This window comes from Homo sapiens, chromosome 4 (assembly GCF_000001405.40).
Source record: "Homo sapiens chromosome 4, GRCh38.p14 Primary Assembly".
NCBI lineage: Eukaryota > Metazoa > Chordata > Mammalia > Primates > Hominidae > Homo > Homo sapiens.
The window spans coordinates 10770245-10783034 of NC_000004.12; the positions used below are offsets into that span (position 1 = coordinate 10770245).

The 12790-nt window shown below is 41.8% G+C and overlaps 1 long non-coding RNA gene across 2 annotated transcripts in view; it reads left to right on the forward strand.

Moving 5' to 3' along the window:
* LINC02498 (long intergenic non-protein coding RNA 2498) overlaps nucleotides 1-12790 on the forward strand; it is a 71347-nt gene that overhangs the window by 32654 nt on the left and 25903 nt on the right. Inside the window, exon 4 of one of the 2 annotated variants that reach the window (XR_925378.3) lies at nucleotides 566-627. The exons of the other annotated variant lie outside the window; for it this stretch is intronic. This is a non-coding gene — a long non-coding RNA (long intergenic non-protein coding RNA 2498). Of the gene's footprint in view, nucleotides 1-565; nucleotides 628-12790 lie in introns of those variants that run through there. 2 annotated transcript variants of the gene reach the window in all.

The window sequence follows — 12790 nt, forward strand, 5'->3', positions numbered from 1 at the left end:
CTCCTTTATTGAAGGATCATTAAATACACACACCTCTTTCCAAGATTAATTAGGCAATCTCTCTGGGTCCATTCTATTAACCTGTAATTAGAATGTAAAGATACTCACGCTCCATGACACACATTTTAATTGCATCTCACCATGTGCTAGTATCACACACACTACTGGAAAGCAAGGCAGGAGGAAGAAGACTGGTTGCGGAAAAAAGTGGCTTTGACTCCTGGTTTCAGGGCTCCAAGCATGGGGTCCCTGGCTACCCAACTCCCTTTATCCAGTGCCTACTGGTAAACATCCCTGTGAAAGGTGGCGGGAGGGGAAATTCAAGCTTCTGGATATGTGCAAAACAATCTGGCCCAGGTTCATTAAACAGGCATATTTGTACCTTTCCTAAGTTCTTCCCCTTGACCTCAAAGCATATTTCCAGCAAGAACCAATGCCGTAGGGTGCATGCACAGTAATAATAATGGAGTTTTGGAATTCTAGGACAGGAATTAATTCCCCAATTTTCAGATTCAACTACTAGGACTTGGGAACAAGATCTAAATATGATTCTTTTGATTTCTAGTTCAATTCTCATTCTAAGATGCTGTTGTCCACCTACACCAAGCAGGTGAGTGTAAATCCCAGATCATCCCTTAAGAAAGAAGCTAAGTGGTGTTTATGACCCTTCCAGTCCTTCTCCCTCCACATATTCAAGGAATATTTCCTGCGTGTCAATGAAACACAGTATTAGGGCTAGTGCTTTGAAGAGGTTGCAGTTCCTGTCCTCATTGAGCTTATAGTCTCAAAATTAATTAATTACAATTTTGATGAATGTTATAAATGAGAATCATAAAGTTCTGTGAATATTTCAATCTGTCAAAATGTAAACGTTCTGCATCTCAACTGGATTCCCTGTTTTAGCTCTTACCCAAAACATGGATGATGGTGACATTTCTTTGTGGATAGAGCAAAAGATCCAGAAAAGGGGTCCAAGAGGAAGACTAGAAGGGAGGAAAAGAACTGTAAGGTGGCCTTCAAAAATGTATGAACATATCCTAATCTCTAGAACCTGTGAACGTGACCTTATTGGGAAAAAGGAGCTTTTCAGATAAAATTAAAAATCTCAACATTCTCAAGGTAAGGTCATCTGGATTATTCAGGTGAGCACTAAAGCCAATGGCAAATGCTTTTTATAAGAGATAAAAGAGGAGAGATGGACAGACAAACAGGAGAAGATGATGTGAAGACAGAGGCAGTGATTGAAGTGATGTAACCATAGTTAAGGAACGCCAGGTCTGGTGGCTCATGCCTGTAATCCCAGCACTTTGGGAGGCCAAGGCAGACGGATCATCGGAGGTCAGGAGTTCGAGACCAGCCTGGCCAATGTGGTGGAACCCCATCGCTACTAAAAATACAAAATTAGCTAGGCATGGTGGTGGGTGCCTGTAATCCCAGCTACTCAGGAGACTGAGGCAGGAGAATTGCTTGAACCCGGGAGGCAGAGGTTGCAGTGAGCCAAGATTCCACCATTGCACTCCACCCTGGGCGACAAGAGCAAAACTTTGTCTTCAGAAAAAAAAAAAAAAGAAACCAAACCAAACCAAAACAAAAATACCCCAACAAACACCAATAGTACCAGAAGCTGGAAGAAGCAAGAAACAGAGTCTTCTTTAGAGCCTTTGGAGACCCTTAAGTGAGGCCCTGCAACACCTTAATCTTAGACTTCTGACCTCTGGAGCTGTGACAGAATACATTTTTTGTTGTTGTTGGAATTCATCCAGTTTGTGGTAATTTTTAAGGCAGCCCTAGATATCAAATATAAGAATGAAGAGACAGGGCAAAGGACAGGCACCAAGGTGAGGCAGGGAAGCACACAGGACAGAATGTTTAATGAGGCACTCACTCTTGGGTTCATACAGGCACAAGGTCAGCCCTGCATGAACCCAAGAGTCGGCCCCAGGCACCTAGCTTGCCTCACTCCAGCTGTAACCTGGAAGAGCAGGTTTTAGAACAGAAAAACTGAAGCCAGCAAGACCAACAGAGAAAAGATATTTCAAGAAAAGAGAGATCAGTGGTGTCAAATATTAGAAAGACCAACAGACCACCACTAAGAAGTGAAGACAATGTGCACAAAAGGACCCGGACATAGTGCATGTTTAGTAGACATCTCTTTGAATTTTTATCTTTTTCTCCTTGACTTCCTTTGATGCCCATGCCTACTGCCTGATTATCAGAGAAGAAGGAAAACCAGCAATAATCAAGTGTCCAACTCTTAAACATGCTGTACTTCACTTCAATTCTGAAAGTAACTTCTGAGCTAGGAGACATAATTCTCTTTTCCTAGGTTAAAAACAGAGGTTCAGGGATAACCAGTGACTTTTCAGTGTCTTAAAATGAGGACTAAAACCCAGAGTTTTGTGACTCCAGCCCAGCCACACCACAATGGCTGAGTTTGTTGGTCAGCCCTTGACTCGTCCATAAGCTTTGAATTCCTGCTTTCTTCTAAGTACCTACTAATGTGCTCTTCATTATCTTGGGATCTGAGAAAGATTTATGCCTTCAGTTGGATCATGGTCTAGTAAAGAGGGAAAAGCTAGAATAAACAATTGATTATAAAGAAAGGAAGAATTAGGTGAGTAATAAGTGGAACAACAGGCAATAATGAGGGAACACTCAATACCCACAACCTTGAATCTTGGTAAATAAGAACACACAACACAAAATCAATATGGGAGATGCCCTCACTTCTACATGAATTCATTCAGTCTGAGGCTACTTCTACCTCTGTTGGACCAAGACACTTTCTTATAGCTCTTTTTCTGTTGATCTTCAGAGTTTAAAATACCTCCAGAGCAAGCTGGGAAATAACTTTCCATTTTTCCAATGTTTGCTTTTCAGTGTTTTGAATGAATCTTCTCTGCAAACTGCTAAGCTAATTGAACCACTACCATTTCAGCTGAAAAAACATCCTGTCTTGCCAAAGCACATTTGCTTGTGTACTCAGTGTTACCAACGAAGGGGCCAGAGCTGGGGGAAATAGTCGTTTATAGCCTGAAGACCAGGTGCAGAATGAAAAGTGTTTTGTTTTGATCTGCTCTGTTTTGGGAAGGATGGGTGCTGACATTTAAAGGGCTCATTTCACGTTCTTAATAGACATTGTTTTTTGGGGTTCAGAAATGCAAAGAATGAGTAGCTCAAAGAGGTCAATGGCTTGCCCAAGAATATAGACAGAGGGTGGTTCAGAGTCCCCATGCCGTTGTCCTGTCCCAGCAATGACACACTGACTCAGGTCATAGGCCAGCCCTTGAAACACTAGAGAAACGTAATCTCCTCCCTGATATTGGATTTGATTCAATTAAAGGGCTGGGATTTAAACTCACTTCTATATTGCTCCTGTGCCCTTATTTGATTATGTCTTGTGTTTCAAGTATGTTCTTCAGCCTCTCATGAGGGTGGGGCTGTTACCAAAAAATGCTTTTAAAAATATTTTCAAAAGGAGCATTAAAACTCTCCATGAATCAGATTTATTTGAACAAAGTATCATCTACTCTTAAAAAAATCTAACTCATTCTCTTGACAGATTTATAAGACTGGGTTATTTCATCATAGAACCAGAAACTGTATGTGTGATGACGTACAAGAAATGTGCCAATGAATAGTCAGATTTCTCCTCTCCAAGTTCAAAATGTAACTTAGGGACATAGGGAGGAAAAGCATCCACTGATGTTGCAAGGTGACTAGGGATAAATTGACGTGAAAGTCACCTTCAGAGAGAAGAGACACTGACACTTGGGAAACTTCATTAAAATTCTTAAAAAGGGAGAAATTGGATGCTGAACTGGAACTCACTTTGAATGAAGTACTTTTTAGTTTTCTTAATTAAAATTGTGTTCAGCTCAGGGCTGAACTTCTTAACAATTGAAACTTACCTAGGTTTGGGCAAACTTCATCTGATATTGTGATGTTACATAGACTGTTCAATAAATGGGTAGGTTTCCAGATATGAGTCACTGACTGCGAAATATCTGTGTCCCCACACTCAGCACCCAGCTTGGTATCTGGCATATAGAACATATTTAATAAAACTTATGACACAGAAGACAGGGTATATCTAAGTGACTGGGTACCTTAATACTTCACGAGTTTTGCCTTACATTTTTCCAAAGTCAGAAAACAGTCTTCTAAGGCCATAAAGGGGTATGCTGATATTTTTCTGCATTAGTGCATGGGAAATGCTACATTCCATAAATGAAACAAGTATAATACACTCAACCAACTCATTTATAGACAGAGACTCTGAAGATTATCTAAATATCATGCTTATCTCTGTAAAGCCCACTGGAGTCCAAATAAGAAATCACTTAATGAGTTATTATAAATTAAGTTGAATTATAAATAAATAATTGAGAGTGTGATAAAGAGAGTAGCTAACAGTCTTGTAATGGTTACTATGTTCCCTGCGTTGTTCTAAGTGCTCAGTGTTAACATGCTTAACATACACTTGCACTGCAACCCTTTCTCTATGTACAGATGGAGGAACTGAGGTACAGAGAGGTTAAGTAACTCGCCCAGCATTCACAGTACACAGCAGGGCTGGGCATCAGGACCCAGGCTATCTGATTTCTTCAATATTCCACCTGCTACTTCTTTACTTCCACACCAACTCCTGACATACAGCCCCAGCGTTCATCTGTCCAACTTCCTTTTTAGAAATTTAGGCCAGCGCAGTGGCTCATGCCTGTAATCTCAGCACTTCAGGAGGCCAAGAAGGGTGGATCACCTGATGTCAGGAGTTTGAGACCAGCCTGGCCAACAGGGCGAAACCTTGTTTCTACTAAAAATACAAAAATTAGCCAGGCGTGGTGACACGTGCCTGTAGTCCCAGCTACTCGGGAGGCTGAGGCAGGAGAATCGCTTGAACTCAGGAGGCAGAGGTTGCAGTAAGCTGAGATCCCGGGCACTGCATTCCAACCTGGGTGACAGAGCAAGACTCTGTCTCAAAAAAATAATAACAATAATAATAAAAATTTTAACTAAAATAATCCTGATGAGTGGATTTTATTACTTTTATGTTGATTTTTATTATTGGTATATTTATTTATTTATTTATTTTTATTTTTTTTATTTTTATTTTTATTTTTTTTATTTTTTATTTTTTTATAGTTTCTTTTTTTTTATTATTATACTTTAAGTTTTAGGGTACATGTGCACATTGTGCAGGTTAGTTACATATGTATACATGTGCCATGCTGGTGCACTGCACCCACTAACTCGTCATCTAGCATTAGGTATATCTCCCGATGCTATCCCTCCCCACTCCCCCCACCCCACAACAGTCCCCAGAGTGTGATGTTCCCCTTCCTGTGTCCATGTGATCTCATTGTTCAATTCCCACCTATGAGTGAGAATATGTGGTGTTGGGTTTTTTGTTCTTGCGATAGTTTACTGAGAATGATGATTTCCAATTTCATCCATGTCCCTACAAAGGACATGAACTCATCATTTTTTATGGCTGCATAGTATTCCATGGTGTATATGTGCCACATTTTCTTAATCCAGTCTATCACTGTTGGACATTTGGGTTGGTTCCAAGTCTTTGCTATTGTGAATAATGCCACAATAAACATACGTGTGGCATGTGTCTTTATAGCAGCATGATTTATAGTCCTTTGGGTATATACCCAGTAATGGGATGGCTGGGTCAAATGGTATTTCTAGTTCTAGATCCCTGAGGAATCGCCACACTGACTTCCACAATGCTTGAACTAGTTTACAGTCCCACCAACAGTGTAAAACTGTTCCTATTTCTCCACATCCTCTCCAGCACCTGTTGTTTCCTGACTTTTTAATGATTGCCATTCTAACTGGTGTGAGATGGTATCTCATAGTGGTTTTGATTTGCATTTCTCTGATGGCCAGTGATGATGAGCATTTTTTCATGTGTTTTTTGACTGCATAAATGTCTTCTTTTGAGAAGTGTCTGTTCATGTCCTTCGCCCACTTTTTGATGGGGTTGTTTGTTTTTTTCTTGTAAATTTGTTTGAGTTCATTGTAGATTCTGGATATTAGCCCTTTGTCAGATGAGTAGGTTGCGAAAATGTTCTCCCATTTTGTAGGTTGCCTATTCACTCTGATGGTAGTTTCTTTTGCTGTGCAGAAGCTCTTTAGTTTAATTAGATCCCATTTGTCAATTTTGTCTTTTGTTGCCATTGCTTTTGGTGTTTTAGACATGAAGTCCTTGCCCATGCCTATGTCCTGAATGGTAATGACTAGGTTTTCTTCTAGGGTTTTTATGGTTTTAGGTCTAACGTTTAAGTCTTTAATCCATCTTGAATTGATTTTTGTATAAGGTGTAAGGAAGGGATCCAGTTTCAGCTTTTTCCATATGGCTAGCCAGTTTTCCCAGCACCATTTATTAAATAGGGAATCCTTTCCCCATTGCTCGTTTTTGTCAGGTTTGTCAAAGATCAGATAGTTGTAGATATGTGGCATTATTTCTGAGGGCTCTGTTCTGTTCCATTGATCTATATCTCTGTTTTGGTACCAGTACCATGCTGTTTTGGTTACTGTAGCCTTGTAGTATAGTTTGAAGTCAGGTAGTGTGATGCCTCCAGCTTTGTTCTTTTGGCTTAGGATTGACTTGGCGATGCGGGCTCTTTTTTGGTTCCATATGAACTTTAAAGTAGTTTTTTCCAATTCTGTGAAGAAAGGCATTGGTAGCTTGATGGGGATGGCATTGAATCTGTAAATTACCTTGGGCAGTATGGCCATTTTCACGATATTGATTCTTTCTACCCATGAGCATGGAATGTTCTTCCATTTGTTTGTATCCTCTTTTATTTCCTTGAGCAGTGGTTTGTAGTTCTCCTTGAAGAGGTCCTTCACATCCCTTGTAAGTTGTATTCCTAGGTATTTTATTCTCTTTGAAGCAATTGTGAATGGGAGTTCACTCATGATTTGGCTCTCTGTTTGTCTGTTGTTGGTGTATAAGAATGCTTGTGATTTTTGCACATTGATTTTGTATCCTGAGACTTTGCTGAAGTTGCTTATCAGCTTAAGGAGATTTTGGGCTGAGACAATGGGGTTTTCTAGATATACAATCATGTCGTCTGCAAACAGGGACAATTTGACTTCCTCTTTTCCTAATTGAATACCCTTTATTTCCTTCTCCTGCCTAATTGCCCTGGCCAGAACTTCCAACACTATGTTGAATAGGAGTGGTGAGAGAGGGCATCCCTGTCTTGTGCCAGTTTTCAAAGGGAATGCTTCCAGTTTTTGCCCATTCAGTATGATATTGGCTGTGGGTTTTTCACAGATAGCTCTTATTATTTTGAAATACGTCCCATCAATACCTAATTTATGGAGAATTTTTAGCATGAAGGGTTGTTGAATTTGTCAAAGGCTTTTTCTGCATCTATTGAGATAATCATGTGGTTTTTGTCTTTGGCTCTGTTTATATGCTGGATTACATTTATTGATTTGCGTATATTGAACCAGTCTTGCATCCCAGGGATGAAGCCCACTTGATCATGGTGGATAAGCTTTTTGATGTGCTGCTGGATTCGTTTTGCCAGTATTTTATTGAGGATATTTGCATCAATGTTCATCAAGGATATTGGTCTAAAATTCTCTTTTTTGGTTGTGTCTCTGCCTGGCTTTGGTATCAGAATGATGCTGGCCTCATAAAATGAGTTAGGGAGAATTCCCTCTTTTTCTATTGATTGGAATAGTTTCAGAAGGAATGGTACCAGTTCCTCCTTGTACCTCTGGTAGAATTCGGCTGTGAATCCATCTGGTCCTGGACTCTTTTTGGTTGGTAAGCTATTGATTATTGCCACAATTTCAGCTCCTGTTATTGGTCTATTCAGAGATTCAACTTCTTCCTGGTTTAGTCTTGGGAGAGTGTATGTGTCCAGGAATGTATCCATTTCTTCTAGATTTTCTAGTTTATTTGCGTAGAGGTGTTTGTAGTATTCCCTGATGGTAGTTTGTATTTCTGTGGGATCGGTGGTGATATCCCCTTTATCATTTTTTATTGCGTCTATTTGATTCTTCTCTCTTTTTTTCTTTATTAGTCTTGCTAGCGGTCTATCAATTTTGTTGATCCTTTCAAAAAACCAGCTCCTGGATTCATTAATTTTTTGAAGGGTTTTTTGTGTCTCTATTTCCTTCAGTTCTGCTCTGATTTTAGTTATTTCTTGCCTTCTGCTAGCTTTTGAATGTGTTTGCTCTTGCTTTTCTAGTTCTTTTAATTGTGATGTTAGGGTGTCAATTTTGGATCTTTCCTGCTTTCTCTTGTGGGCATTTAGTGCTATAAATTTCCCTCTACACACTGCTTTGAATGCATCCCAGAGATTCTGGTATGTTGTCTTTGTTCTCATTGGTTTCAAAGAACATCTTTATTTCTGCCTTCATTTCATTATGTACCCAGTAGTCATTCAGGAGCAGGTTGTTCAGTTTCCATGTAGTTGAGCAGTTTTGAGTGAGATTCTTAATCCTGAGTTCTAGTTTGATTGCACTGTGGTCTGAGAGATAGTTTGTTATAATTTCTGTTCTTTTCCATTTGCTGAGGAGAGCTTTACTTCCCAGTATGTGGTCAATTTTGGAATAGGTGTGGTGTGGTGCTGAAAAAAATGTATATTCTGTTGATTTGGGGTGGAGAGTTCTGTAGATGTCTATTAGGTCCGCTTGGTGCAGAGCTGAGTTCAATTCCTGGGTATCCTTGTTGACTTTCTGTCTCGTTGATCTGTCTAATGTTGACAGTGGGGTGTTAAATCTCCCATTATTAATGTGTGGGAGTCTAAGTCTCTTTGTAGGTCACTCAGGACTTGCTTTATGAATCTTGGTGCTCCTGTATTGGGTGCATATATATTTAAGATAGTTAGCTCTTCTTGTTGAATTGATCCCTTTACCATTATGTAATGGCCTTCTTTGTCTCTTTTGATCTTTGTTGGTTTAAAGTCTGTTTTATCAGAGACTAGGATTGCAACCCCTGCCTTTTTTTGTTTTCCATTGGCTTGGTAGATCTTCCTCCATCCTTTTATTTTGAGCCTATGTGTGTCTCTGCATGTGAGATGGGTTTCCCGAATACAGCACACTGATGAGTCTTGACTCTTTATCCAATTTGCCAGTCTGTGTCTTTTAATTGGAGCATTTAGTCCATTTACATTTAAAGTTAATATTGTTATGTGTGAATTTGATCCTGTCATTATGATGTTAGCTGGTTATTTTGCTCGTTAGCTGATGCAGTTTCTTCCTAGTCTCGACGGTCTTTACATTTTGGCATGATTTTGCAGCAGCTGGTACCGGTTGTTCCTTTCCATGTTTAGTGCTTCCTTCAGGAGCTCTTGTAAGGCAGGCCTGGTGGTGACAAAATCTCTCAGTGTTTGCTTGTCTGTAAAGTATTTTATTTCTCCTTCACTTATGAAGCTTAGTTTGGCTGGATATGAAATTCTGGGTTGAAAATTCTTTTCTTTAAGAATGTTGAATATTGGCCCCCACTCTCTTCTGGCTTGTAGGGTTTCTGCCGAGAGATCCACTCTTAGTCTGATGGGCTTCCCTTTGAGGGTAACCCGACCTTTCTCTCTAGCTGCCCTTAACATTTTTTCCTTCATTTCAACTTTGGTGAATCTGACAATTATGTGTCTTGGGGTTGCTCTTCTCGAGGAGTATCTTTGTGGTGTTCTCTGTATTTCCTGAATCTGAATGTTGGCCTGCCTTGCTAGATTGGGGAAGTTCTCCTGGATAATATCCTGCAGAGTGTTTTCCAACTTGGTTCCATTCTCCCCATCACTTTCAGGTACACCAATCAGACGTAGATTTGGTCTTTTCACATAGTCCCGTATTTCTTGGAGGCTTTGCTCATTTCTTTTTATTCTTTTTTCTCTAGACTTCCCTTCTCGCTTCATTTCATTCATTTCATCTTCCATCGCTGATACCCTTTCTTCCAGTTGATCTCATCGGCTCCTGAGGATTCTGCATTCTTCACGTAGTTCTCGAGCCTTGGTTTTCAGCTCCATCAGCTCCTTTAAGCACTTCTCTGTATTGGTTATTCTAGTTATACATTCTTCTAAATTTTTTTCAAAATTTTCAACTTCTTTGCCTTTGGTTTGAATGTCCTCCCGTATCTCAGAGTAATTTGATCGTCTGAAGCCTTCTTCTCTCAGCTCGTCAAAGTCATTCTCCATCCAGCTTTGTTTCGTTGCTGGTGAGGAACTGCGTTCCTTTGGAGGAGGAGAGGCACTCTGCTTTTTAGAGTTTCCAGTTTTTCTGTTCTGTTTTTTCCCCATCTTTGTGGTTTTATCTACTTTTGGTCTTTGATGATGGTGATGTCCAGATGGGTTTTTGGTGTGGATGTCCTTTCTGTTTGTTAGTTTTCCTTCTAACAGAGAGGACCCTCAGCTGCAGGTCTGTTGGAGTATCCTGCCGTGTGAGGTGTCAGTGTGCCCCTGCTGGGGGGTGCCTCCCGGTTAGGCTGCTCGGGGGTCAGGGGTAAGGGACCCACTTGAGGAGGCATTCTGCCGGTTCTCAGATCTCCAGCTGCGTGCTGGGAGAACCACTGCTCTCTTCAAAGCTGTCAGACAGGGACATTTAAGTCTGCAAAGGTTACTGCTGTCTTTTTGTTTGTCTGTGCCCTGCCCCCAGAGGTGGAGCCTACAGAGGCAGGCAGGCCTCCTTGAGCTGTGGTGGGCTCCACCCAGTTGGAGCTTCCCAGCTGCTTTGTTTACCTAATCAAGCCTGGGCAATGGCAGGCGCCCCTCCCCCAGCCTCGCTGCCGCCTTGCACTTTGATCTCAGACTGCTGTGCTAGCAATCAGCCAGACTCTGTGGGCGTAGGACCCTCCGAGCCAGGTGCGGGATATAATCTCGTGGTGTGCCGTTTTTTAAGACCGTCGGAAAAGCGCAGTATTAGGGTGGGAGTGACCCGATTTTCCAGGTGCCGTCCATCACCCCTTTCTTTGACTCAGAAGGGAACTCCCTGACCCCTTGTGCTTCCCAGGTGAGGCAATGCCTCGCCCTGCTTCAGCTCGCGCACGGTGGGCACACCCACTGACCCGTGCCCACTGTCTGGCACTCCCTAGTGAGATGAACCGGGTACCTCAGATGGAAATGCAGAAATCACCCATCTTCTGCGTCGCTCACGCTGGGAGCTGTAGACTGGAGCTGTTCCTATTCGGCCATCTTGGCTCCTCCCCGGTATATTTATTTTTAACTACTATGTTTCTTGAACTTTACCTAAACTATCTCACAAAATGGCCATGGTAATTCTGGAACATGGTTATGTGAATTCCATTTTACACCACAGAACATGGAGACAGCAAGAGCTTAAGGATTCCACCCAAAGTCTCAAAGCCAGCAAGTGGCAGAGATTTGATTCAAATCATGTTTGTTTTCTGACTCAAGTTGAGTTTGTGTGTGTGTGCGCATGTGCACATGTTATGGTAACATTTAACCTAAAATTTCTTGCACAATTATTGCCTATCCTAAAATGGGAGTCGACGATGCTAAGAATAACTGGGCTCTATCTGGGGGTCCTTTGCTTTGCTCCAGGTTCTCCCACTCTGCTCTGTTTTCTTCCCTTCTTTAGAAGCAGCTTTCTGTTCCTGCATCTCTCTCCAGTCTCTTTTAAGAAGAGTGGTGTGTTAAATCGTGATTCTGTGCAGCTCCTCTTATTCTTTTCCTCTCTCTCTTATTTTCTTGCTTGGTATTTCAGTTTCTGTGAGTTGGCGTGAGGTGGGCTGGGGCGATCCCTGGGCGTGAGAGTGCATGTGCACACAGGCATTGCTTTGGAGAATCTGTTATTACTCAGAGCCCCTGTGGGCTGTTTCCTTGTTTGGCTCTCATCTTCTCATGGACAGTTTGGTTCTGAAAACCGTAGTCTTTGGTTTGTGAGTCTGTGTTTAGAGCCCTTAAGAAGTTCTGTGAACTTGCCCTTGCAAAGGAGAATGATGTGGACCAGAGCCCTGCCTGGGAAGGGCACTCAGGGTCATGGTGGCCCGTGGAAGAAGGAGTAACTTACACCACTCGAGAAGGGCTGCTGCATTCCAGAGAGCCTTGTTTAGATACTGGGCAGGTGGGAGTCTATGTTTCTCACCAAGGGCATCCATTGAGAGACTGCAGTTTCTCTCTTGGCAAAAGGGGAATGTATCCCTCTCTGTGCTCCTCCTGTGCAACAGCTATTTCACTCTGTCACCTGGCTGTTTGTTGTGGTCCTGTGACCCTCAAGGTCCAGAGAAGGCTGGCTGGATTTGGAAGCCTTCCCCAGGGATTCTGCAAATTCCCAGGAGTCTTGGGTCTCAAGGACACTTCTGGCTGCAAAATGCTGCATCTCCCTGGGCAATCTGTGCTGTTTCCTTCTGTTGATTTCAAATGTGAATCTCAATCCTTTCCTCAAATTGAACCCTGGATCCTTCCCATCAACCTGATGAAGATGAGTCCACCAATAGCGAATGCTCAGGCCGGCTCCTTCCCGTCCTTTGGCTGCATCTTCTATTGTCTGTGTGCCTCTGGTCCCTCACTCGGAGCTTATCTCATTGTGGAAGCTTGAAACATCTTTGTGTGATAAAAGGACCTCCACATTTTCACCATGTATATTTGGAGCCTGAATGCTAAAACAGTCGTTATTATTGTTCTCATATATGAACACCCACATGTCATGGCCCATGCAGTCAATGATTTTGTTTCATTTATTCTCATAACAAATACCCGGATGCAGGCTAGAGATAATGACTGGAGCTCTCTTGTAAGTATAACTATATTCCCCAAAAGGATTTGTTTAGGTCCTGGCCCCTGGTACCTGTGAATGTGAG